The sequence below is a fragment of the Homo sapiens genome, chromosome X, assembly GCF_000001405.40.
Source record: "Homo sapiens chromosome X, GRCh38.p14 Primary Assembly".
Taxonomy (NCBI): domain Eukaryota; kingdom Metazoa; phylum Chordata; class Mammalia; order Primates; family Hominidae; genus Homo; species Homo sapiens.
The window spans coordinates 154,064,430-154,091,742 of record NC_000023.11 but is presented as its reverse complement, the minus strand read 5'-3'; the positions used below and the strand labels follow the sequence as shown (position 1 = coordinate 154,091,742).

General features: G+C 43.5%; 1 protein-coding gene across 16 annotated transcripts in view; it reads left to right on the top strand.

The window, feature by feature from the left end:
• The window catches only part of MECP2 (methyl-CpG binding protein 2), a 76,145-nt gene that overhangs the window by 5,975 nt on the left and 42,857 nt on the right, over positions 1-27,313 (top strand). The window lies entirely within an intron of this gene.

Below are 27,313 nucleotides of genomic sequence, written 5' to 3'. Positions count from 1 at the left end.
TTTTCAGATATGGGAACTGGTATGTGGTTGGTTCCCTAGAAGGACACCCTCCTGAAAGCTGTCTCAGAACACCGGGGGCCATGGCTAATGTCATGTGCTTGCTACACTCCTCCCATGGTAACTAAAGAGAGTACCCAGATATACATCTGGTTCTTGGGACTCTAGAGGAGGATGAGTACTTTGTAAAAACCTGGGGGCCCCAGTCATTCTAGGTCTGACACTCAGGTGCTGTATCAGCTGCAGTTTGAACTACTTGGCACCATTGTGTGGACTTTAGTTTTGTAAAAATGAATGGTTCCTTAATTTCTCAACCTTCAGGCTCAACATCTCAAGCTGTTTGTTGTTGTTGTTGTTGTTGTTGTTTTGTTTTGTCTTTTTGATTAGTGGTCACTCCGCATTTGATGTTTTGACATGTGGATTTCAGAACTTCTGTGTGGTAAAGCAGAATGTTCCAATTGAATTTTCCCATTTTTTTTCCCCTAAGCAAAAATGTGAGTTTTCACTTATGCGGCCATTGTGATTCCGACTGAGACCCTAAGTCGTTCTTTGTTGTCTCTCTAGTGGTTTCTGACACCTCAGTGTGAAGCTGTTGTAGACATCCATAAGAAATAGCCTGCTTAGGGATTATGTGAGGGCAAGGTTTGGCTGAAGGAGAATAGAAGGTGTGGAAGGAAGCGGAAGACCAGAAGAGCATCACACTGCCTCAAGTCCCAAATTTGATTCTGCTCCTGATCCTGTGACTCAAATTGTCATTCTCTTTTACTGCTGTGGGGTGTGCTCTGGGCCCAGCTGACAGGACATTCTTTGTACTCCACGTATTTATGCTGGTGGGAGTTGTATGGCTAGTGCTTTGTGCTTTGTCTCAGAAATTGTGTGGACTAAATGTAATATGGGCAGTGAATGGGTTTCTTCTGGAAGATGTTAGGCCTGGAGGGTGGTTTGGGTTTTTACGAGTCTTTTTCTCAGATTACAGATTACGAATGGATGTTATAAAACAGGCAGTGTTGACACCATACAGTTTCTCCTAAGAAATGTACAGAGAGTTCAACCTGAGGAAGCTAATTGAAAATAAACTTTTAAAAAGAAATGTAGAAAGAGGAAATTTAAAAAGTATCTTATGAATGGGAAAGATGTAGCCATTTGAGCTTCAAAGAACTTTTGAGGGAATTCTCAAAGGACAGTACCCGTCTTTAGTAGATAAATGCTTGATATCTATTTTTCTTCTTTTACTTTTTAAAGAATTACTAAAATAATACATGGATTTATAGAAAAATCAAACCACTTAAAAATTGATCAGGTGGCTGGGCAAGGTGGCTCATGCCTGTAATCACAGCGCTTTGGGAGGCCTAGGCGGGTGGATCACCTGAAGTCAGGAGTTCGAGACCAGCCTGGCTAACACGGCGAAACCCCATCTCTATTAAAAATACAAAAATTAGCTGGCCATGGTGGCTTGAGCGTGTAGTCCCAGCTACTCGGAAGGCTGAGGCAGGAGAATCACTTGAACCTGGGAGGCGGAGGTTGCAGTGAGCCAAGATCACACCACTGAACTCCTGCCTGGGTGACAGAGTGAGACTCGGTCTCAAAAAAAAAAAAAAAAAAAAGTATCAGGTAAAAAAATGAAAGCTCCCCGCTTAATCTCTGCTCCCACTACCCAGAATAACTGCTGTTAATAGCTTAATGTAGATCCTTCTAAGTCTTCTAAGACTAAACTGTGTACTTTTTGTGTTGTAATTAACAGGAGGGTTTTTGTTTTGTTTTGTTTTTTCTTTTTTTGAGATGGAGTCTTGCTCTGTCATCCAGGCTGGAGTACAGTGGCACAATCTTGGCTCACTGCAACCTCCACCTCCTGGGTTCAAGTGATTCTCCTGCCTCAGCCTCCTGAGTAGCTGGGATTACAGGCGCCTGCCACCACACCCAGCTAATTTTTGTATTTTTAGTAGAGATGGGTTTCACCATGTTGGCCAGGCTGGTGTCGAACTCCTGACCTCAGGCGATCCACCTGCCTTGGCCTCCCAAAGTGCTGGGATTACAGGCGTGAGCCACCGTGCCTGGCCTCAGGATGGTGTTATATATACATATTCTGCATTTTTCCATCTCATATATTCATCTCTGCCTCATTTCTTTTAAATAGCAGTGTAGTCCAGGGCTGACTTACCGTCATGCATTTCGTTGTCTCTCTATGTTATTAAAAATGCTACAGGATTGAAATTCCTCATGTGCCAGTCATTTTGAAGAATGGCTGCCTAGACTTGGAATTTCTGGTGGATACCACCACATCACTGTCCAAAATGGCTATCCCAGTTCCCACAACAGTCTGAGAAAGTGCCATTTTCCCATATCGTCCCAGAATTGGATATACATCTTTTAAATTGGTGCCGCTTGGATTATTACTGAGGCTAAACCTCAATAATCATTGTCATAGCTCTTAATGTATTAAAGATGTTAACTCTTTGTCATGCAGATATTTTCCTGTTTTGTCTTACGTCTTGATTCTTGTCTTTCTGATATATAAAATTTATGTTATGATTTATTCTTTTGCTTTCATACTTAGGAAATCCTTTTTTACTCTTTTTTTTTTTTTTTTTTTTTTTTTTGAGACGGAGTCTCGCTCTGTCGCCCAGGTTGGAGTGCAATGGCGTGATCTTGGCTCACTGCAAGCTCCATCTCCCGGGTTCATTCCATTCTCCTGCCTCAGCCTCCCGAGTAGCTGGGACTACAGGCGCCCGCCACCACGCCTGGCTAATTTTTTTGTATTTGTGAGACAGGGTTTCACCATGTTAGCCAGGCTGGTCTCGATCTCCTGACCTTGTGATCCGCCCGTCTCTGCCTCCCAAAGTGCTGGGATTACAGGCGTGAGCCACCGCGCCCCGCCAGGAAATCCTTTCCTACTCTTAACAACAGATCAATAGTCATCTATATTTTCTTCCTAAAAAACCTGATGATGTATTATATTCATACATACGTATTTAATACATACAAAAGGGCCAGATGCGGTGGCTCATGCCTGTAATCCCAGCACTTTGGGAGGCTGAGGCGGGTGGATCACCTGAGGTCAAGAGTTCAAGACCAGCCTGGCCAAGATGGTGAAATCCCGTCTCTACTAAAAATACAAAAATTAGCCAGGCGTGGTGGCGGGCACCTGTAATCTCAACTACTGGGGTGACTGAGGCAGGAGAATCGCTTGAACCCAGGAGGCAGAAGTTTCGGTGAGCCAAGATCACGCCACTGCACTCCTGCCTGGGCGATAGAGTGAGGCTCTGTCTCAAAAATAAAAAATAAAAATAATAATTTTATAGTTAAGTTGCCCTGTGTTTTTCCTGTGATTAAAAAAAAAAATACCTGTTTTGTATTTAACTTTGGGGTGGGATAAGGTATAGCCCACTTAGTCAGTTGTGTCTAAGCCACTTGATGAACCAGTCAATCCAGTCTTCACCTTTAACAAATGCTGATTTCTTCAAGTGAGCAAAATATCTCTTAAACTTTTTCCTATTTTCTCTATAAAGTTGCTTTTTTCTGAATTTTTTCTTTATGAGGCTTGATGGGCAGCCCTATCAGCAGACAATCATTCATTCACCCAACAAATATTTGAGTATCTGCTTCAAGCCAGGGGCAGTGCTAAGCCCTGGAAGTGGTATCTTCTCCTTATCCGGGAGTGGGGCTACAGTGTTCATTCCAGAAGACTCAAGAAAATAGCAGATCATCACAAAAGTAGGTTTTACATAAATGAGGAGGAATCCACAGGGTTGTGTATATGTGTGTGTATTTTAAATTCTGACATAAGTTGGAGCTTTAGGGTAGACTGTGACATAAGAGTAGTTTGTTTTCCAACTCATGTAATTGCCGGCTGATTTTTGTCTTGAATTATGATAATGGTAACTTCTGTTGAAACAATTCTGTATTCATCTTAGCTTGGTTGGGATGCAATAAAAGTTTTGTACTGGTAAAAATGATAATTTTCTTCCATGATGATTTTGAAGCTTTTCTGTAACACCTGATAAAAATAGAGGGGCCAGGCATGGTGGCTCATGCCTGTAGTCCCAGCTACTCGGGAGGATGAGGTGAGAGGATCCCATGAGCCCAGGAGTTTTAGGCTACAGTGAGCCATCATCACACCACTGTACTCCTGTACTCTAGCCTGGGCAGCCTCGTTCTTTAGAGTAAGACACTGTCTCTTTAAAAAAAAAAAAAAAGAAAAAAGAAAAAAAGAAAAGGCTTTTAGTGAATATATTTTTAGGGTAGCAAGTGTAATTTTTATAAATTGCATTATTTGAATCTAATAAATACCCTCAAAGCTGAAGTCGAATTCTGATTTTGATTGAAAATATTTTTTACTTAAAGGAAGAGGGATAGAATAAATGACACGATTAAGGAAAAGACTTCTTGTATAAGGCCGGGGTTTTTTAAATGATTTTTTGAATAGTTAGATGGACAATACGGAATTAAAAAGGTGGTGTAAAAAGTTATACGGGGCTGGGCACAGTGACTCACGCCTGCAATCCCAGTACTTTGGGAGGCCGAGGTGGGTGGATCACCTGAGGTCAGGAGTTCGAGACCAGCCTAGCCAACATGACGAAACATCATTTCTACTAAAAATACAAAAATTAGCTGGGCTTGGTGGTATGCACCTGTAATCCAGCTACTCGGGAGGCTGAGGCAGAAGAATCGTTTGAACCCAGGAGGCAGAGGTTGCAGTGAGCCAAGATCGTGCCATTGCACTCCAGCCTGGGCGACAGAGTGAGACTCCATCTCAGAAAAATAATAATAGAAAAAAGTTATATGGGGCTGGGCATGGTGGCTCATGCCTGTAATCCCAGCAGTTTGGGAGGCTGAGGCAGCTTGATCACTTGAGGTCAGGAATTCGAGACTAGCCTGGCCAACATGGTGAAACTCCGTCTCCACTAAAAATACAAAAATTAGCCAAGCGTGGTGGTGCGTGCCTGTAGTCCCAGCTACTTGGGAAGCTGAGGCAGGAGAATCGCCTGAACCTGGGAGGCAGAGGTTGCAGTGAGCCAAGATCATGCCGTTGCACTCCAGCCTGGACGACAAGAGCGGAACTCCGTCTCAAAAAAAAAAAAAAAAGAGTTATATTGTAAAGTATCTCTGCTACCCTGCCCCAAACATTCATTTCTTTCCCTGGAGGCAGCCACTATTACCTGTTTCTTTAAAAAAAAAAAAAAATTGTGGCCGGGCACGGTGGCTCACGCCTGTAATCCTAGCACTTTGGGAGGTGGAGGTGGGTGGATCATGAGGTCAAGAGATCGAGACCATCTTGGCCAACATGGTAAAACCCCATCTCTACTAAAAATACAAAAAATTAGCCGGGCATGGTGGCGGGCACCTGTAGTCCCAGCTACTCGGGAGGCTGAGGCAGGAGAATCGCTTGAACCTGGGAGGCAGAGGTTGCAGTGAACTGAGATCACGCCGCTGCACTCCAGCCTGGCAACAGAATGAGACTCCATCTCAAAAAAAAAAGCGTGTGTGTACCCGTGTGTTAAATTTTTATTATAAAATATATATAACAGGCTGGGCGTGGTGGCTCACGCCTGTAATCCCAGCACTTTGGGAGGCCGAGGCAGGCTGATCACGAGGTCAGGAGATCGAGACCATCCTGGCGAGCACGGTGAAACCTCGTCTTTACTAAAAATACAAAAAATTAGCCGGGCATGGTGGCGGGCGCCTGTAGTCCCAGCTACTCTGAGAGCCTGAGGCAGGAGAATGGCGTGAACCCAGGAGGCGGAGCTTGCAGTGAGCCGAGATCGCGTCACTGCACTCCAGCCTGGGCGACAGACCGAGACTCCGTCTCAAAAAATATATATCGATATATATAACAATTTACAGTTTTAATCATCTTAACTGTACAGTTCAGTGGCACTGAGTACATTCACATTGTTGTACAGCCATTACTACCATCCATCTCTACAACCTTTCGTCTTGCAAAACTGAAATTTCATACCTATTAAACACTAACTCCCACTTCTCCCCTTTCCCCCACCCCACCCTCTGGCAACTACTATTCTACTCTTTGTCTCTATTGGACATATTTTTGTGTGTTTAGGTTTGTGTATATATTTTACATGTGTGTATAAATACACAAGGGTATGTGGGCGTTGTGTTTTTACACATACTATAAAATATTGTGCACATTTGTTTATTTTAATGTATCCTGTAGATTATTTAGAATCGGTTCATACAGAGCCGTATCATTCCTTTTAAGGGTTGGGTTTAAATAGTCTGTTATGGATGTACCACAATTTATTTAACCAGTTTTTAAATTTTTTACTTATTTTTTTTAATGTTTTTTTAGAGACAGGATCCCACTCCATCACCCAGACTGGAGTGCAACAGCATGATCATAGCTTACTGCAGCCTTGAACTCCGGGGCTGATGTGATCCTCCCACCTCAGGCTCTCTTGTAGCTGGGACTACAGGGATGTGCCGCCATGCCTGGCTAAATTTTTTATTTTTATTTTTATTTTTATTTTTGGTAGACACGGGGTTTCACTGTGTTGCCCAGGCTGGTCTTGAACTCCTTGGGCTTGAGTAATCCTCCTGCCTTGGCCTCCCAAAGTGCCGAGATTACAACCATGAGCCATGGAGCCCGACAAGAGTAGCCTTTTATTTGCAGACCATTAGAGAAAAAGTTGCGTGTAAGTAGATAAGCATACGAATTTATCACTGCAATACTGTTTGTAGAGATCACAGAGCTGTTAGGCTAGGAAGAAGTTTTTAGCAGTTAGCACTAGAAAGCAAAACTTTGGAAACTTCCATTTCATCAAAAGTGACCTCATCTGAGTAGGGCATGTGAGGGAAGGACCTTTTTACTCGACAAGGGGAACTTGCCCAGTTCTTGTTTGTGAACCTTGAAGAAAGTGGAGCATTTTTATTTTGGGACCATTCTAGGTTGTGGTAGTTCCTTGGTACTCGGGGTTGGAGAATCTCCCTCTGCTGCTGGACCTTCTGCCTCCTCATGCTGTAATATGCATAAGAGGTGTCCTAGAAGTATTCAGGAACAGGCTGTGGTTGCTTTGTTGTTCTGTGACTGTTGAACTCTTTATATAGCAGTACTTTTTTAAGCTGTACTAATTGAGCATTTATTATGTGTCAGTTACTGTGCTAGCTGCTGGAAACTATCCTACCCTCAGCAGTCTTCTGGTCTAATGGGAGGTACAGACAGGCAAATGGGCTATGACTTTACAAGAGGCTAACTTCTGTGATGGAGAGAAGTTCCAGCCACTAAGGGAGCACATAAAAATCAGAGGAGATCCTACCAAGAATTGGGAGGTAGGTCAGGGAGGAGACTTCTTTGAAAAATGGCATCTAAGACCTGAACAGCAAGGAAACATTAGCTAGGTCAAGGACAAAGCATCAGTGGGGAGAGATGCATGAGTCTTTTGGAAGGACCAGCATGTGTAGAGGCTCTGACAGGAGAGAATCTCTCAGGCCCATTCAGAGAGTCCACTGTGTGAAGACGAGGCATGAACAACCAGCCAGGACATGTGGAGAGGAGCATTTTTCTTTTTTTCTTTTTTCTTTCTTTTTTTTTTTTTTTTTTTTTGAGACGTCTTTCTCTGTCACCCAGGCTGGAGTGCAATGGCATGATCTCGGCTCACTGCAACCCCCACTTCCAGGGTTCAAGCAATTCTTCTGCCTTAGCCTCCCAAGCAGCTAGGATTACAGGCACCCGCCACCATGCCCGGTTAATTTTTGTATTTTTAGTAGAGACGGAGTTTCACCATGTTGGCCTCAAACTCCTGACCTTAGGTGATCTACCCGTCTCGGCCTCCCAGAGTGCTGGGATTACAGGTGAGAGCCCCCACGCCCGGCCAGGCTCGGCTTTCTTTCCAGGCCCCGTCACACTCTTAGATGTTCCCTGGGCCCCAGAAGGCAGCGTGAGGTGCTCTGCCCATCTATGCTGTCCTTTTCCACCCCACCCTATCCACTGGGCCCCTGGGGCTCCCACTCCACTCCAGGTCTCTTCATGGACCCTTCTTTCCCTTCACTTCTGTCCCAGGAGACCTGGGAGACTCATGGGAACAGGCATCATCTTCTCCAGCACAGTTCATTGTCTAATGCACGAAAGTGCTGGGCTGTGAGAAGGTCAGGAGCTTACATGGAATGGGAGTCAGCTGTGGTACAAAGTACGCTGCTTAGTTCTACTGATTTTTTATTTTTTATTTTTACATAAGACTTTGATGGTAAAGGAAGCAGTGTGTGAGCAAGCTGACTCCTGTCTTGTCAAGTACCAGGTCCACTCTGATGAGCCCCTGTGGACAGCACTGCTGTAACTCCCCAAGCCTGGGCTCAGGAGGTGGGCCCTAAGCGCTGTTCCCAGCTCTTCCTCCATGCTGTCAGCTCTTCCACCATTCTTCCTGGCGTCATTCTAAGGTCCTGTCTTCCCCCGCCCTCTTCCTTCCTGGCTTCTACGCTCAGCTCAAGTAGTAGCTGTTTGGGTACTTTTCACCCAGACTTAGGAAATGTTATCAGTTGGTCGTATTCCTGTCAGCCCTCTTACTATGGAACTCAAATAGGACAGATTCAGCTGAATTCCCAGCCCTGTGGTTGCACTCTTTGTCTGCCCTGCTTCCCCAAGGTAGCCTGCTCCCTAAAGGTCACCGAGATACTCCCCATGCAAGGTTTTTGTTGTATTACACATGACAACATGGAATAAAGTGTTTTGCAAATTTACTGGATGATATCCTACTATGTGGAACATCCTACAACTTACTCTTTTCACTCAACATTTGACTTTTGAACCTGGTCTGTACTGCTCCGTGCAGACCAATGTTCATTCATTTGATATGTCTCCTTGTGCCATAGAAATAGTTTTACAATAGAAGCCTGTCCAGAGCCATGAGGGAGAAGGGGATTGTAGAGAAACAAGGATTGGCATCTGGTTTATGTTTACATCCTTTAGTCCTGTTAACCGAGAAGAAGATATTTTTATTTCCATGTTTGCGAAAGCTTTCCACAAAAAAAGCATCCATTTTCTAGACTTATTAATAGGGCAGTCCAAAGGTTTTATTTTTAGATTTGAAAGAAAGCAAAGTAGGCTTCTGAGATATGCACATTTCCCTGTGTCCCTGTCTCTTTTGCAACATTCCACATTGCTGCTAAAACTTGAACATGAGCACTTTCAAGCATGTGCTTACTTTCTATGTATGACTCATTTTTTAAAACATTAAAGCATTTTCGGCCGGGTGTGGTGGCTCACGCCTATATTCCTAGCACTTTAGAAGGCCGAGGCGGGTAGATCACTTGAGGTCAGGAGTTCAAGACCAGCCTAGCCAATATAGTGAAACCCCATCTCCACTAAAAATACAAAAATTAGCCGGGCATGGTGGCGGGCGCCTGTAATCCCAGCTACTCGGGAGGCTGAGGCAGGAGAATTGCTTGAACCCAGGAGGTGGAGGTTGCAGTGAGCAGAGATCGAGCCACTGCACTCTAGCCTAGGTGACAGAGCGAGACTCTGTCTCAAAAAAATAAAAATAAAGCATTAAAGCACTTTGTCTGGTGGTATGTAAGTTTTGGCATTACTTAGATAAGTTGTATTTTAAGTCTTTCTACACACAATAACTTATTTTTAAAATACAAGTTTCTGTGTACTTCCGGGTTTTGTGTTTTTGTAAACAGCAGAAGGTATTAGTCCATATTAAGTACTAATTTGTTCTAATATTTTCAGCTGTTTTTGGAATTACACTTGGCAAAAAAATAGACAAATGTCTGCAGTTGTGACAGTTTGTTTTTTTGTTCTTTTTAACTCCAGAATAAATAATTCTAGTGAGTTTTTTTCTTGGCTTGTAAGAACATGGGAATGATTAGAGTCATCATAACACTTAAGTAGTTATAGAAGGTTGAACATCTGTAGTCAGTTGTATAAAATTTCCTAGTCATCCTTCCAGGTTGTTTAAGACAAACAAATACATAGTATTTATTAAGCTCTTATAAATTTTAATTGTAAAACATCATTGTACAAAACTTTGAAAATGCGTATAGGTACAAAGATAAAAAATTAGGCCAGGCATGCCATGGCTCACGCCTGTAATCCCAGCACTTTGGGAGGCCAAGGTGGGAGGATCTTTTGAGCCCAGGAGTTCAAGACCAGCCTGAGCAACATATTGAGACCCTATCTCTACAAAAATATCATAAAACAAAATAGAATCACTCTGGCGATTCCACTATCCAAAAAAAAAAAAAACTGCTGTTAATATTTGGTATGTATCTTTCTAGACCAAGGCCTCCAACTTTGGTTGAGAATTCAGCCGGGTCTGTGACCTTGGATGGGAAAAACATTCACTCTTTATTTTCACTAATGTCTCTGAAAACCCAGATTTTTAGCTGGGCATGGTGGCTCGTGCCTGTAATCCCAGTGCTTTGGAAGCCCGTGGAGGGCAGATCACTTGAGCCCAGGAGTTTGAGACCAGCCTGGGCAACATAGCAAGACCCTGTCTTTTAAAAAAAAAAAAAATCCAGCCGGGTGTGGTGGCTCATGCCTGTAATCCCAGCACTTTGAGAGGCTGAGGCAGGCAGATCACCTGAGGTCAGGAGTTTGAGACCAGCCTGACCAACATGGTGAAATCCTGTCTCTACTAAAAATACAAAAATCAGCCGGGCATGGTGGTGGGCGCCTGTAATCCCAGCTACTCCGGAGGCTGAGGCAGGAGAATCACTTGAACCCGGAAGGTAGAGGTTGCAGTGAGCCAAGATCACACCATTGCACTCCAGCCTGGGCGACAGAGCGAGACTCTGTCTCAAAAAAAAAAAAAAAAATCCACATTTTCTTCAATGACAATTGTAAGCAACAGATCATGGTAGTATTAGAATAGCAGTGACTGTCACCAGTAGAGATCAAAGATACTTTCATATCATATTATAGTTGTTACAGATATTTTGAAATATATATGTCCATCACTGCTTCAAACTTAAGGTAATTATTAGACCCATCTCTAGATCTGGTTATTTAATGATTTACTGAAGAAGCACATATTATTTGAGAACGAACTCTTGAAATATGTTGTTAATTTCTGTGCATTTTACACATTTCAAAACATTCTTCTGAGGAGGGGTCCAGAAGGCCAAAAGGGTCCATGGCAGAAAAAGGTTAAGAACACCTGTTCTGTACTTTGTACCATGTGGCTACAAATATAAAAACAGACGTTAAGCCGGGTATGGTGATGCACACCTGTAGTTCCACCTACTTGGGAGGCTGAGGTGGGAAAATCACTTGAGCCCAGGAGTTTGAGGCCAGCCTGGGCAACAGAGCAAGACCCCATCTCTTAAAAACCAGTCAGCACTTGACTAGTCAGTTAGTGGGGGAAAACACAGGTACAGTAAAAGGAGTCAAAATTACACTTAAACTTAGGTCATCTTATTATATCAAACATTTATTAACATGTTTAGTGTTTTGTGTATATTATGCAAAGTGTAATGCAACTAAAACTGTTTAACACTTCTCGATATCACATAAATTTGTTGGTGCATAATAGCCTAAAAGTTACTTTTGCTGTTGGCATTTTATTTTATTACTTACTTATTTATTTATTTATTTATTTATTTTGAGACAGAGTCACACTGTCGCCAGGCTGGAGTGCAGTGGTGCGATCTCAGCTCACTGCAACCTCTGCCTCCCTGGTTCAAGCGATTCTCCCGCCTCAGCCTCCTGACTAGCTGGGACTACAGGTGCGCGCCACCATGCCCAGCTAATTTTTGTATTTTTAGTAGAGATAGGGTTTCGCCATGTTGGCCAGGATGGTCTTCATCTCTTGACCTTGTGATCTGCCCACCTCGGCCTCCCAAAGTGCTAGGATTACAGGCATGAGCCACCACGCTGGGCCTGCTGTTGGCATTTTAAACATCCTTCTAGAGTCTTTCTTATTTGCCTGTAAGCACGTACACATGTTGTTGTTGTTTTGAGACAAGGTCTGTCGCCCAAGCTGGAGCACAGTGGTGCAATCACAGCTCACTACAGCTTCGACCTCTTGGGTGCAAGTGATCCTCCCAATCAGCCTCCCAAGTAGGTGGGACTACAGGTGTCCGCTACCATGCCCAGCTAATTTTTGTATTTTTTTTGTAGAGACGGAGTTTCACCATGTTGCCCAGACTGGTCTCAAACTCCTTTGCTCAAACGATCCTTCCGCCTCGGCCTCCCAAAGTGCCGGGATTACAAGTGTGCACCTCTGTGCCTGGCCCACATGTTGTTTTAGATGAATGAGATCATATATGTACTTTTGTAACTTGCTACCTTTCCTCAACAAAATGTTGTAAATATCCATGTCCATAAAAATAGACGTATATCTTCACTTTTCCCTAAAATGAAAATAACTTAACTTGCATTTTCTTTTTTGTTTTTGTTTTTGTTTTGAGACAGGCTCTTGCTCTGTTGCTCAGGCTGGAGTGCAGTGATGTCACAGCTCACTACAGCCTCCACCTCCAGTTTCAAGTATTCCACCTACCTCAGCCTCCAAGATAGCTAAGACTACAGGCACATGTCACGACGCCTGGCTAATTTTTAAAATATTTTTTGCAGAAATGGGATTTCACTATGTTGCCCAGGCTGGCCTCAAACTGCTGGCCTCAAGTGATCTTCCTGCCTTGGCCTCCCAAAGTGCTGGGATTACAGTCGTGAGCCACTGTGCCCAGCCTGCATTTTCTTATTATAAAAGTAATACATGTTCAATGGACAAAAAATTTTCAGAAAATATGCAAAGATGAAAAGTAAAAATTGTCCATAAATCTGTCATCTACAGATAAAGATAACTTCTGGATAATGTTTTTCTACCATCATTTTTAGTAATCACATAACATTTCGTTGTATGTCTATGCCTTCATTTAATTAAGAGGCATTTCCATTATTTCTGCATGTTCATGACTCTGAATGATGATATGTCTGCCTGCTGATGGCTACAACCCTGTTTCTGCATTTCAAACCTCTCTCTTGAGCTCCAGATTTGATGGCCTCGTCAGCATTTACTTGAGTTGCTCATAAGTGTCTCAAATTTAACAAGTCCCAGTCTTGATTTTTTTCCCCCTTCAAACCTATTCCTCATGTTGTCTCTATTTCAGTAAACAATATCAACATCCACCCAGTTACTCAGTCCAAAATTCTAGGAGTCATCCTTGATTCTGCTCTTTCTTTTTTTTTTTTTTTTTGAGACGGAGTCTCGCTCTGTCGCCCAGGCCGGACTGCGGACTGCAGTGGCGCGATCTCGGCTCACTGCAAGCTCCGCTTCCCGGGTTCACGCCATTCTCCTGCCTCAGCCTCCCGAGTAGCTGGGACTACAGGCGCCCGCCACCGCGCCCGGCTAATTTTTTGTATTTTTAGTAGAGACGGGGTTTCACCTTGTTAGCCAGGATGGTCTCGATCTCCTGACCTCATGATCCACCCGCCTCGGCCTCCCAAAGTGCTGGGATTACAGGCGTGAGCCACCGCGCCCGGCCTCTTTTTTTTTTTTGATACGGAGTCTCATTCTCGTCATCCAGGCTGGAGTGCAGTGGTGCAATCTTGGCTCACTGCAACCTCCGCCTCCCGGGTTCAAGCAATTCTTCTGCCCCAACCTCCTGAGTAGCTGGGCCTGGCTAATTTTTTGTATTTTTAGTAGAGATGGGGTTTCACCATGTTGGCCAGGCTGGTCCTGAACTCCTGACCTTGTGATCCGCCCACCTCAGCCTCCCAAAGTGCTGGGATTACAGGCGTGAGCCACTGCACCCGCCCTGATTCTGCTCTTTCTCTCATCATCCCTGATCTGTCAGCAAGTCCTGTTAGGCCAACCACTTCTCAGCATCTGCACTGCCAGTATGCTAGTCCAAGCCACAAAACACCTCTCAGAGGTACGCAACAGGACTTTGTTGTTGTTGTGTGTGTGTGTGTTTTTTTTTTTTTACGGTAGAATTATTTTATAACTTGAAGTGTAGGGATGACCTTCCTTTTAAAATTTTATTTATTTTCTTAATTTTTTATTCCCATAGATTTTAGGGGAACAGGTGGTATTTGGTGACATGAGTAAGTTCTTTAATGGTGATTTCTGAGATTTTGGTGCACCCATCACCCGAGCAGTGTACACTGAACCCAATTTGTAGTCTTTTATCCCTCACCCCCTCCCACCCTTTCCCTCAAGTCCCCAAAGTCCATTGTATCATTCTGATGCCTTTGCATCCTCATAGCTTAGCTCCCACTTATGAGTGAGAACATACAGTGTTTGGTTTTCCATTCCTGAGTTACTTCACTTAGAATAATAGTCTCTAGTTCCATCCAGGTTGCTGTGAATGCCATTAAGTCATTCCTTTTTATGGCTGAGTAGTATTCCTTTGTATATATATGCCACAATTTCTCTATTCACTTTCTGATTGATGGGCATTTGGGCTGGTTCTATATTTTTGTAATTGTGAATTGTGCTGCTATAAGCATGCGTGTGCAAGTATCATTATGCAACGGGACTTCGGATGACATATTGAACAACTTCCTCACTGATATCCTTGTGAAACGCTACATATTTCATGGGTCTGTTTGTTATACCAACACTCAATTCTGAATGATGGAATTATTTCACATTTAGTCTCTTTTTCATCTAGCCATTATAGTTTAGTTTAAACACCAAGTTCCATTCCTGCTGCATGCTGAAGGATTTGCAGTACATCAGGCTATAGTCCATCAATTCATTCCACAATTGAGTAAGTAAGGTATCTATAGTACCTCAGGCCCTGTGTTAGGCAGGGATGGGGTAACCTAGACAGATTTGGTACCTGTCCTCATGGAGCTTGACTTTAGCGGCAGAGACAGATCTTAGATAATTGTACCAGTACTTAAGTGTTCAGAAGGACAAGTATGGAGGTGGGAGCCACTCCAGTCCTCTACAGTCACGTGCTGCACAACAACGTTTCAACCGACAACAGAGCACACATACAGTGGTGTTCCCATAAGATTAGAATGCCATATTTTTACTGTACCTTTTCTATGTTTAGATATACAAATACTTACCATTGTGTTCCAGTGATCTACAGTATTCAGTATAGTACCATGCTGTACAGTTTTATAGCCCAGGAGCAATAGGCTATATACCGTATAGCCTAGGTGTGTAGTATGCTACACCATCTAGATTTGTGTAAGAACACTCTCTGATGTTAGCACAAATAAATCGCCCAATGACACATTTCTCAGAACATATCCCTGTTGTTGAGCGACTCATGACTGTACAATGGGGGAACAGCTCAGCCTGCCTTCCCCAAGGAGGCAACGCCGATGCAGGGAACCGAGGGTTGAACAGAAGTGGGCAAGGTGCAGAGAGGAAAAAGGCTTTCCAGATGGAGAAGAGCATGTGTGAAGGCCCTCAGTCTGGCAAGAGCTTAGTCCTGTGTGGCAGGAGCTGAACGAGGGGTTAGGGGAGAGTGGCAAAGGGTCCGGGCCATCAGAGAGGTCAACAGGGGCTGGATCATGCAGGATTTTGAATGTTAACATCAGAGCGATAGAAAACATGAAGGGTAAGGTGGTTTGGGTTTTGAATTTTTATCAAAATATTGCAACTACTCGGCAACAAGTTAGATATAACAAAAGAGGTCATCGTAAAAACAGCAGTCTACCCCTTCCCCTTCCCTTCCCTGACTCAGACATGACAGCTTTTAACTGTTTCTGATTTTAGTTCCTTTGATGGTTACCTCCAAAATTAAATCATATGCTTATACATCTTTCTTGATTTGCCAACTTTAGGGAACTGTGTTAACTCCCTGAAATGAAAGAGAATGACTTAGCTTACGTTACCTCCCCATGTTGAAATTCATATTCACATTTCTCTGTAATTTTTTTTTTGAGATGGAGTCTCACTCTGTCGCCCAGGCTGGAGTGCAGTGATGTGATCTCGGCTCACTGAAACCTCTGCCTCCCGGGTTCAAGCAATTCTCGTGCCTCAGCCTCCTGAGTAGCTGGGACTACAGGCGCACACCAGTGCACTGGGCTAATTTTTGTATTTTTAGTAGAGGCGGGGTTTCACCATGTTGGCCAGGCTGGTCTTAAACTCCTGACCTCAGGTGATCTGCCTGCCTTGGCCTCCCAAAGTGCTGGGATTACAGGTGTGAGCTACCATGCCAAGCCCACATTTCTCTGTAAATTTTAAACAGTATTTTAGTCCATATGTCAGTTCCCCTCTGTTTAAGATAAGGATATTAATAACCCTACTTTTCCTTCCACTTTCCCTCCTTAACTTCTGCGTCTTAAAAGCTGTACTTGACCATACCCATTCTTGCATTTGTTAACATGTGTGTTCTGCCCTGCAACCACAGCCAAGTTGTAGCTTAATTCTAAAGTCGAAAATAACATTATTTACATTATTACACATGTGAGTATTGTTCTTGGCGAGACCAAATAATGAATGTGCCCAGGATTACATTTCCTTCTTTACAGATCTGGACCACTCAAAGGAGAATGACCAATCAAGGTCAAATGGATTCCCTTTTCTTAGACTCTGTCACCTGCTTAAAATCCTTGCTAGGATTTAATCTACTTCATATTCAAACCTTGGCTTGCTTATATAGCTCTTTGTTTTGCCCACCATTTCTAGTTGCCTTTTTATTTTGTTTACTATTCCTCCTTGATTATGTTGTAAAATGCTATTAGCAGTGCTGTTTATTTCGTACGATTCGGCTTTTTCCCCACTGAAGACCTTTCTCTTGGAAGGCCTCTGCCCTTCTGCAATCTGGGCAAGTATCTGCTCTTTGATTTAAGGTTGCATATACAGCTGTACCTGGACCTTCTCCTCACTGGGCTCTTGGGTTGGAGCCCGTGTCTTAAAACCCATATCTTCCTTTCACATGGTTTACTCCCTCGTTTTCTGGACTGCATCCTTAAATAATGTGCTCAGATAGAGTGCATGGGGAGTAAACTGTAGTGGATACCGTTGTCACCTACCCCATATCCATTTCTTCTTTGCCCATTCCTAACAGAATCCTGATATTATTCACCTTTCTACCTTATTCCCAACTTCAGAAAGGATCCTTAAGTCATTCCACACATTGCATTCCTTTGGCAACTGTTACTGGTCAAGGATGGACATACGATCTAAGTTGGTTCACTCAGACTGAAGGGAAGGACTTCCATGGCACGTTCAGGGAAGACTTTCTCTTTTTCTCTCACTGGAGTAAGTGAGAAAGGTGTTGCTGGGGGCTCTTCTGTAACCTCAGACTGAGGGACAAAGCCTGAGGATAAAGCCTGCTCACCAAGGAAGGCGGAGCAGAGAAACGGGAAGAACCTGGGTCTTGATGCCGTTGCTTAGCTGGTGATTGCACTGTGGCTGGGGCCTGTCCTACCTGAGCTAGGGACTCAGATAGGATGGACTTTCTTACTGAATGAGCCAGCTTCAGTTTTCTTTTCTGTTACTTGTAACCAAAAGCATTGTAACAGATAGGTCTTCTGAGTCACTGCATGCCTGAAATACCTTTCTTCTACTCTTACACTTGATTGGCTGAGTATAGGGTTCCAAGTTGAAAATCATTTTTTCTCCTAACTTTGGAGGCATCTCTTCTAGTATGCAGAGTAACAAATGCAACAAATGCCTGATGCCAATCTTATTATGGTTCTTTTGTAGGTGCCCTTCTTTTCTCTTCCTTCCCTGGAAGTTTTTAGGATTTCGTCTCCTTATTTTTAGTGTCCTGAAATCTCATGAGAATATGTCTAGAGTTGTGTCTTGTTCACTCGTTGTACTGTGGTCATTCAATCTGAATACTTTTGTCAACTCTTTTTTTTAAAAAAAAATTACTAATTTACATGCTTTCATTTTCTCTATGGGGACTACTGTTTAACTTTGGACCTCTTATATTGGTCTTCTGTCTTCTCTCATATTTTTCATTTATTGGGCGGTGGGGGGTGCTCTGAATTTTGGAAGATCTCCTGCATTTATTTTCTTTTTCCTTTTTTCTTTTTTTTTGAGGCAGAGTCTTGCTCTGTCACCCAGGCTGGAGTGCAGTAGCCTGATCTCGGCTCACTGCAACCTCTGCCTTCCAGGTTCAAGCAATTCTGCCTCTGCCTCCCACGTAGCTGGGATTACAGACCTGCACCACCACGCCCGGCTAATTTTTGTATTTTTAATAGAGATGGGGTTTCACCATGTTGCCAGGCTGGTCTCGAACTCCTGACCTCAAGTGATCCGCCCGCCTCAGCCTCCCAAAGTGGTGTGAGCCACCGCACCCAGCCTCCTGACTTTATTTTCTATCCCTTCTGTTAAATTCTTTATTTCAGCCAAACCTTTTTTTTTTTTTTTTTAACTTACTGTGAAGCCTGTGTGCCTACTGCCTAGATTAGACAATTGTTAACATTTTGGCGTATTTTCCTGGTCTGTATAGATAGGGTGCATTTTTATACCTTTTTGCTCACCATTTAAAAGGAACTCACAGATGTCACGACATTTCACCCCTAAGTACTTCAGTATACATCTCCTAAAAATAAGGACATTTTCCAATATAAGCACAATACCCCGATCACATCTTTAAAAGTTAACAATAATTCTCTAATGTTATCAGGCACCCACTTTAAATTCAGATTTCCTCCAAATGTCTCTTATCGCTGTTGAGGGGCTCCAAAGCAATTAAGATTTATACATTGCATTTGAATATGCTTCCTTTGTCTCTTATTTATTTATTTATTTTATTTTGAGACAGAGTCTCGCTGTCTCCCAGGCTGGAGTGCAGTGGTGTGATCTCAGCTCACTGCAACCTCCGCCTTCCAGGTTCAAGCGATTCTCCTGCCTCAGCCTCCCAAATAGCTGGGATTACAGGTACGCACCACCACGCCCAGCTAACTTTTTTGTATTTTTAGTAGAGACAGGGTTTCTACTAAACCATGTTGGCCAGGCTGGTTTTGAACTCCTGACCTCAAGTGATCTGCCCGCCTCGGCCTCCCAAAGTTCTAGGATTATAGGCGTGAGCCACCATGCCCAGCCCCTTTGTCTCTTTTAACAAGAACAGCCTACCCACCTCTCCTTCACTTGTGATACTGACTTTTTGAAGCAGTCAGCCCAATTGTCATCTAGAAGGGCCCACATTTTAAGATACATATTTTTAGAGATGGCGTGTCACTATGTTGCCTAGGCTGGCCTTGAACTCCTGGCCTCAAGTAATCCTCCTGCCTCAGCCTCCCAGGTAGCTGGGACTACAGGCTTGTGCCACCACGACTAGCTGGCCCACATTTTAGATGTCTCTCTTTTCTTGTGATATAATTTAACTTGTTTGTCCATATATATTACTTGTAGACAAGAAGTTAGGTCTACAGGCATGTTCAGGTTAAACATTTTGGGCAAGAATATTTCATAGGCAGTACTGTGTACTTCATATAGCATCAGCTCACCAGGCACTTAATGGTTGGTTACCCTGTGGTTTGTGATGCTACGTTTTAACACTTGATTAAAGAAGGAGGTGACTGCCAAATCTCCCCATTGTAGACATACAGTTTTCCTGTGGTAATTGATATATAATCTGTGATGTGATGCTTTGGCACCATACAAATATCCTATTGCCCAACAGCCATTTGCATAATTATTTTAGCATTCATTGATCCTTGCCTGAAACCATTATTACATTGGGGGTTGCAAAATGATAGTTTTTTTAATTGTCACCTCTTCTACATTTAGTACTGTCATTCCTCTGTAATGAATTTTCCCTCATCAAATAAGGAGGCATTATATTTCCTCCTAAAAAGACAGTATAGATGCTTAATCTTTGCCTTTATTACATTTCAGAGTAAGGAGTTGGTAGAATAATCACCTCAAATGGTGGCAAAATATTTGCTGTTGTGTTTCCTTTTCTCTTTCATGTCAATATGGACTCATAGGGATTTATTTATTAAATGTTTTACAATTCAAATTGGGTCAACAAGAGTCCCTTCATGTTGGTTCCTATATTCTCCTGGCATACCCTCATTAATTAGTCTTTGAGCAATTTCTTGTTTTCTGGCACAAGATATTCCATCCCAATATGTGCTTTTCGTGTCCTAGAACTGATTCCAAGGAGCTCTGGTTCCTTATAGTGGCAACGGTATTTAGAATCCAACATGTGGGTACTAAATGTGCTGATTCTTACTGGGGTAACATTATATCTAGGCACTTTCAGAGGACATCGCTAGAAAATATATTCAGTTTTTATTTTTTATTTTTAATTTTTTTGTAGAGACAAGGTCTCACTATGTTGCCCAAGCTGGTTTCGAACTGAGCTCAAGCGATCCTCCCACCTCAGCCTCCCAAAGTGCTGGGATTACATCTGTCAGGGCAAACTGCTGGTAAATATTTTCACAAAAGAAAAATAAAAAAACCAAAGTGCTGGGATTACAGATGTGAGCCACTGTGCCCTCCATTTTTTTTTTAAGTCATAAATACATAATGATGTCTTCTATGGCAATTTAACATTACAGGGTTCTTCCTTAACTTTTTTTTTTTTTTTTCTTTTTTTTGAGGCAGGGTCTTGCTCTATTGCCCAGGCTGGAGTGGTGCAGTGGTACAATCCTAATTCACTGCAGCTTCAAATGCCTAGGCTTCAAACAATCCTCCTCCCTCAGCCTCCCGAGTAGCTAAGACTACAGGTGCATATCACCATGCCCAGCTAATTTTTAAAAATTTTTTGTAGAGATGGGGGGTCTCGTTGCGTTGCCCAGGCTGGTCTCGAACTCCTGGCCTCAAGTGATCCTCCCATCTCGATTTCCCAAAGTGCTGGGATTACAGGTGTGAGCCACCATGCCTGGCCAACTTTTATTTGATCTGTATATATCTTTTCCTTACACTGAAAATGTTGGGTCTTACTAATGTTAACATAGTTACTTATTTGCTTTATCTTGTAATAGACATAAAATTACAAAATTATAATACCAATATTACGATAAATAGCTGGGCATGGCGGCGCTCGCCTGTAGTCCCAGCTACTCAGGAAGCTGAGGTGGAGGGACTGCTTGAACCTAAGAGTTTGAAGCTGCAGTGAGCTGTGGTTGTGCCACTGTACTCCTACCCGGACAACAGAGTGAGTGGGGGGAAAAAAAAGAAATAATGGAAGATCCAGAGAAAGCCCCAAATATTTAAAAATTAAACAATACACTTTGCAGCTTCCTCACCTCTCTCAGCCTTCATAGAATTGAAGAGAGTTAGGGCCTTGCACTAGATTAGGCTTTGCCTTAAGGAAATGTTGTGTTTGATTTGATCTTTTATCCAGACCATTAAAACTTCCTTAACGTTTATTAGTAATAAGGCTATTTCACTTTCATATCATTTGTGTGTTCACTGGAGTAGCACTTTTAGTTTCCTTCAAGAACTTTGATTCACAACTTGGCTAACTTTGGTACAAGAGGCCTAGCTTTTGGCTTCTCGGCTTTCAACATGCCTCTCACTAAGCCTGATCATTTGGTTTTTGGTTTAAAGAGAAAGACATATGACTCTTCCTTTTACTTGAATGCTTAGAGGCCATTGTAGGGTTATTAATTGGCCTAATTTCAGTACTGTCTTGTCCAAGGGAATAGGGAGGCCCAAGGAGAGAGAGAGAGATGGGGGAACAGCTGATTGGTGGAGTAGTCAGAATATACACATTTATCACTTAAGTTTTGCCATCTTTTCTTTTTCTTTTTCTTTTTTTTTTTTGAGACAGTCTTGCTCTGTCACCCAGGCTGGCATGCAGTGGCATGATCTCAGTTCACTGCAACCTCTGCCTCCTGGGCTCAAGCAATTCTCCTGCCTCAACCTCCCGAGTAGCTGGTATTACAAGCGTGCGCCACCATACCCAGCTAATTTTTATATTTTTTAGTAGAGACAGGGTTTGCCATGTTGGCCAGGCTGGTCTCGAATTCCTGACCTCAAGTGATCCACCCGCCTTGGCCTCCCAAAGTGCGGGGATTACAGGCGTAAGCCACTGCCGCCTGGCCAAGTTTGCCACCTTTTTTATTTTTTTTATTTTTTGAGATGGAGTCTCACTCCATCACCCAGGCTGGAGTGCAGTGATGCAATCTCGGCTCACTGCAGTCTCTGCCTCCTGGATTCAAGCGATTCTCCTGCCTCAGCCTCCCGAGTAGCTGGGACTACAGGCATGTGCCAGCACGCCCAGCTTGTTTTTTGTATTTTTAGTAGAGACGGGGTTTCACCATGTTGGCCAGGCTGGTCTCCAACTCCTGACCTCAGGTGATCTGCCCGGCTCAGCCTCCCAAAGTGCTGGGATTACAGGCGTGAGCCACCCCGCCCGGCCAAGTTTGCCATCTTTTATGGGTGCAGTTTGTGGTGCCGCAAAATGATGATAGTAGTAACATCAGAGAGCATTGATCACAGATCACCATAACAAATATAATAATGAGAAATTTGAAACATTGTGAAAATTACCAAAATGTGACAGAGACATGAAGTAAGCACATGCTATTGGAAAAATGGCACTGGTAAACTTGCTTGATGCAGGGTTGCCACACACCTTCAATTTGTTAAAAACTCAGTATCTGCGAAGTACAGTAAAGCAAAGCACAATCAAATGAGGTGCGCCTGCATATTACAACCAAGAGGCTTTTCGCAGAAACACGAGTGTGCTTCAACATTCAAAAATCAGTTGGTGTAATTCACCACATTAAGATAATAAAGGAGGCCGGGTGCGGTGGCTCACACCTGTAATCCCAGCACTTTCAGAAGCCGAGGTGGACAGATCACTTGAGGCCAGGAGTTTGAGAGCAGCCTGGCCAACATAGTGAAATCCTGTCTCTACTAAAAATAGAAAAATTAGCCGGGCAGGGTGGCACGCACCTTTAGTCCCAGCTATTCGGGAGGCTGAGGCAGGTGAATCCTTGAAACCAAGAGGCGGAGGTTGCAGTAAGCTGAGATCACGCCAATGCATTCTAGCCTGGGCAACAGTGAGACCCAGTATCAAAAAAAAAAAAAAAAAAAAAAAAAGATAATAAAGGAGAAAAACCATATAGTCTATTCAATAAATACAGAAAACGCATCTGACAAAATTCAGTGCCCTTTCATGATAAAAATTCAGCAGATTAGAAATAGAGGAAGTGCATGTATGAAAGAGCTACAGATAGATTGTACTTAATTGTGAAATATTGAACATGTTACCCCGAAAATCAGGAAAAAGGCAAAGATGTCCACTCTAACCACTTCTATTCAACATTATACTAGAGGTCATAGCCAGTATAATGAGGCAAGAAAAAACATAAGAGGCATTAATATTTAAAGGAAGTAAAACTGTTTCTATTTGTAGGTAATGTCGAAAATGTGAAAGAAACTATCAGAACCTGCTAGAACTAAAAAGTGAATTCAGCAAGGTCTCAGGGTACGAGATCATTCAAAAACTAATCAGAAATGAAATTTCAAATGCAATATCGTTAGGAATAATTTAATAAGAAATGTACAAGATTTACACGCTGAAACTGAAAATGTTGCTGAAAGAAATTAAAGACCTAAATAAATGGAATGTTGTACCATGTTCATCAGCTGAAAGACTAAGTGTCTTTACAGTGTCAGTTCTCCCTTCATTGAACTGTAGATTCATAACCCCAGTCATAACTGCAGGGTTTTTTTTGTAGAAATTGATTGTAAAATGTATATGGAAGCTGGGCACGGTGGCTTATGCCTGTAAACCAGCACTTTGGGAGGCTGAGGCAGACAGATGACTTGAGGTCAGGAATTTGAGACCAGCCTGGCTAACATGACGAAACCCCGTCTCTACAAAAAATACAAAAATTAGCCAGACATGGTGGCACACACCTGTAATCCCAGCTACTTGGGAGGCTGAGGCATGAGAATCACTTGAACCCGGAGGTGGAGGTTGCAGTGAGCCAAGATCATGCCACTGCACGCCCGCCTGGGCAACAGAGTGAGACTTTGCCTCAAATAAATAAATAAATAAAACGTATATGGAAATGCAAAGGACCTAGAACATCCAAAGTAAACTTGAAAGAGAACAAAATTAAGGGGCTTATGTGATGTGACTTTATAGTCATTTGATTTTTAACAGAGGCACCAGAACAGTCCGGTGCGGGAAAGGAAAGTCTTTTAGCACGTGCCGGATGATGGCAAATGACATCCATACCAGACAAAAATGAACCTTGACCTTACCCTAAATATTAGTTTCTTAGAGTTGCCACAAACTAGGTGGCTTAAAACCACAGAAATTTGGCTGGGTGCGGTGGCTGACGCCTGTAATCCCGGCCTTTGGGAGGCCGAGTCGGGCAGATCACCTGAGGTCAGGAGTGCAAGACTAGCCTGGCCAACGTGGTGAAACTTTGTCTCTACTAAAAATACAAAAAACTTAGTCAGGTGTAGTGGTGCACACATATAATCCCAGCTAGCCAGGAGGCTGAGGCAGGAGAATTGCATGAACCTGGGAGGTTGCACTGAGCCAAGATTGCACCACTGCACTCCAGCCTGGGTGACAGAGTGAGACTCCGTCTCAAAACAAAACCACAGAAATTTGCTGTCTCATAATTCCAGAGTCTAGAAGTCCAAAATCAACTGTCATCAGGGCCATGGTCTCTGTGAAACCTGTAGGGGAGTCCTTCCTTGCCTCTTCCTAGCTTCCAGTGGTTGGCAACCTTTGGCATTCTTTGATTTGCAGCTGCATTACTTCAATATCTGTCTTCCTCATCACACAGCATTCTCCATGTATGTCTCTGTCTTTACATGGCCTCCTTCTTGTAAGAACAACAGTAATATTGGATTGGGGCCTGCCCTACTCCAGTGTGACCTCACCTTAACTAATTACACCTGCAACAACGCTGTTTCCAACTAAGGTCTCAGTGTGAGGTACTGAGGGTTAGGACTTCAACATATCTTTTTTGGGGGACATAGTCCAACCCATGACACTACTTCACACCATACATAAAAATTAATTCATGAGAGATTATAGACCTAAATGTTTTAAAAGCTAAAAATATAAAGCTTCTGCAAGAAAACATAGGAGAATATCTGTGCAGTCCAAAGAATAAGGTTTTTTTTAAACACAATTTCACTCTGTTGCCCAGGCTGGAGTGCAGTGGTGCGATCTCAGCTCACTGCAACCTCTGCCTCCCGAGTTCAAGCGATTCCCATGCCTCAGCCTTCCAAGTAGCTGGGATTACAGGTGTGCGCCACCATGCCTGGCTAATTTTTGTATTTTTAGTAGAGGCAGGGTTTTGCCATGTTGGCCAGGCTGGTCTCAAACTCCTGACCTCAAGTGATCTGCCTGCCTCGGCCTCCCAAAGTGCTGGGATTACAGGTATGAGCCACCGTGCCAGGCCAAAAAAAGATTTATTAGGATACATGAAGCAATAGCTATTAAAAGAAAAAATAAATTGGACTTCATTAAAATTTAAAACTTTTGGTCCTCAAAAGATACCATTAAGAAAATGAAAAGACAGAGCTGGGCGTGGTGAGGCTTGCCTGTAGTCACTACTGGGTACTTGAGAGGCTGAGGCAGGAGGATCACTTGAGCCCAGGAGTTCTAGGCCAACATAGGCAATATAGTGAGACAGTGTCTCTTAAAAAAAAAAAGAAAAAGAAAAAACAAAAGAAAATAGGCTGAGAGCTGTGGCTCATGCTTGTAATCCCAGCACTTTGGGAGTACAAGGCAGATGGATTGCTTGAGCTCAGGAGTTCAAGACCAGCCTGGGCAACAGTGAAATCCCATCTCTACAAAAGATACAAAAAATTAGCCAACCATGGTGGCGTGCACCCGTAGTCCATAGTCCCAGCTACTCGGGAAGCAGAGGCAGGAGGATTGCTTGATCCCAAGGAGGTCAAGGCTGCAGTGAGCTGAGGTCGCGCCACCGCACCCCAGCCTGGGTGACTGAGTGAGACCCTGTCTCAAAGAAAATGAAAAGACAAGTCCACCAAGAAAACAGTTGAGACCAGTCATAGAAAAAATAGAAAGTCATATCTGACAAAGGATTTGTATTCAGAAGAATTCCTATAACTCGGTAATAAAAAGACAACCTGATTTTTAAAGGGTGAAAATATTTTAATGGATACTTTTTTTTTTTTTTTTGAGACAGAGTCTCACTGTGTCACCTAGGCTGGAGTGCAGTGGTGCCATCATACATAGCTCACTGCAGACTCGAACTCCTGGGCTCAAGTGGTCTTCCTGCCTCAGCCTCCTGCGTAGCTAGGACTACAAGCACGTGCCACTATGCCTGGCTAATTTTTAAATTTTTTGTAGACATGGGCTGGTGTGTGTCTGTGTTGTCTAGGCTGGTCTTGAACTCCTGGGCTCAAGTGATCCTCCCACCTCTGCCCCCCAAAGTGCTGGGCCACCACGCCTGGTGTGGTGTCACCAGAGATGAGCCACCATGCCCTGCCTGATACTTTTCTTTTATCATCTGTTTATTTCTTGTTTATGGGTGTTTCTGTTCTGATTTTATGACTATTCTGTATTCTAAGATTTCTCTGAGAATATTATTTGTTTCCTCTAAGGACAGACTTGGTCTCTCTTCCATGGGGCTGGTTCTTGAGCCGCCAGGGATGGGGGGAGGACCTGGGTAGCTGCTGCGCTGCCCCTTCTCTGCTGTGGTGGAGTGGCCCGTTGCCTGCGGGGTCTGTCTCTGAAGGGTGGTTTGGAGAAGTTCTGTGGAGGCGAGGCAGGGGTCAGCTCTTGCCCCATGGACCCTCAGAGACTGGGAAAAGGTAGGCATCACCTGGGCTGCTGCCAGCCACATCAAGAGCCTTTGGGGTGGGTGGGGTGGGGGCCGGGGAAGGGAAGGTTCTAGCTGTTGATTTAGAAAAGACCCATTGATTTCTTGCCTGAGGGAAGAAGTGGCACCTTGCCACTCCAAGTTTGCTCTGCTCACCAGCCCCAACAGCATCAGCCTCACCTGGGAGCTTATTGAAGGTGCCCTGCCCCAAAGCTTGTGGGTCGGGATCTGGCAGTCAGCAGCCCCCAGGTGTTGCACACATGACAGCACTGCTTGCCCCTCCTCTCGTCTGGTCTGGTCTGGTCTGGTCTGGTCTGGTCTGAGAGCTTCTTTGGGGCTCTGACAGGTATACAGGCTCTCATCTGCTCTACAGCTCTCTTGTAGTACATTCCTCTCTGTTCCATTAGTCAACATGTTCTTGCCTACTTCCAGCATCTAGAAATTTGCTGAGTGTATCTTATCCGTTCAGAGGTCCTCTCCTGCTATTGCCTCTGTTAGAAATTTCTTCCCTTTCATATGTCTGTACTTCGGTTTCTTTGAGGTTTGAAGGGTCAAGTGGCAATTACATGTAGGCAGTTGGCCATCCTCTGGTGAAGGCTTTAAAGCCCAGGAATAACAAGATCCATTATGTCTAAAACTAGCAAAAACCCTACCTGTCACATGGTGAACTGAATTAGAGGTGATGGGGACAGAAGCCAGATTGGAGTGAGTGGAAGG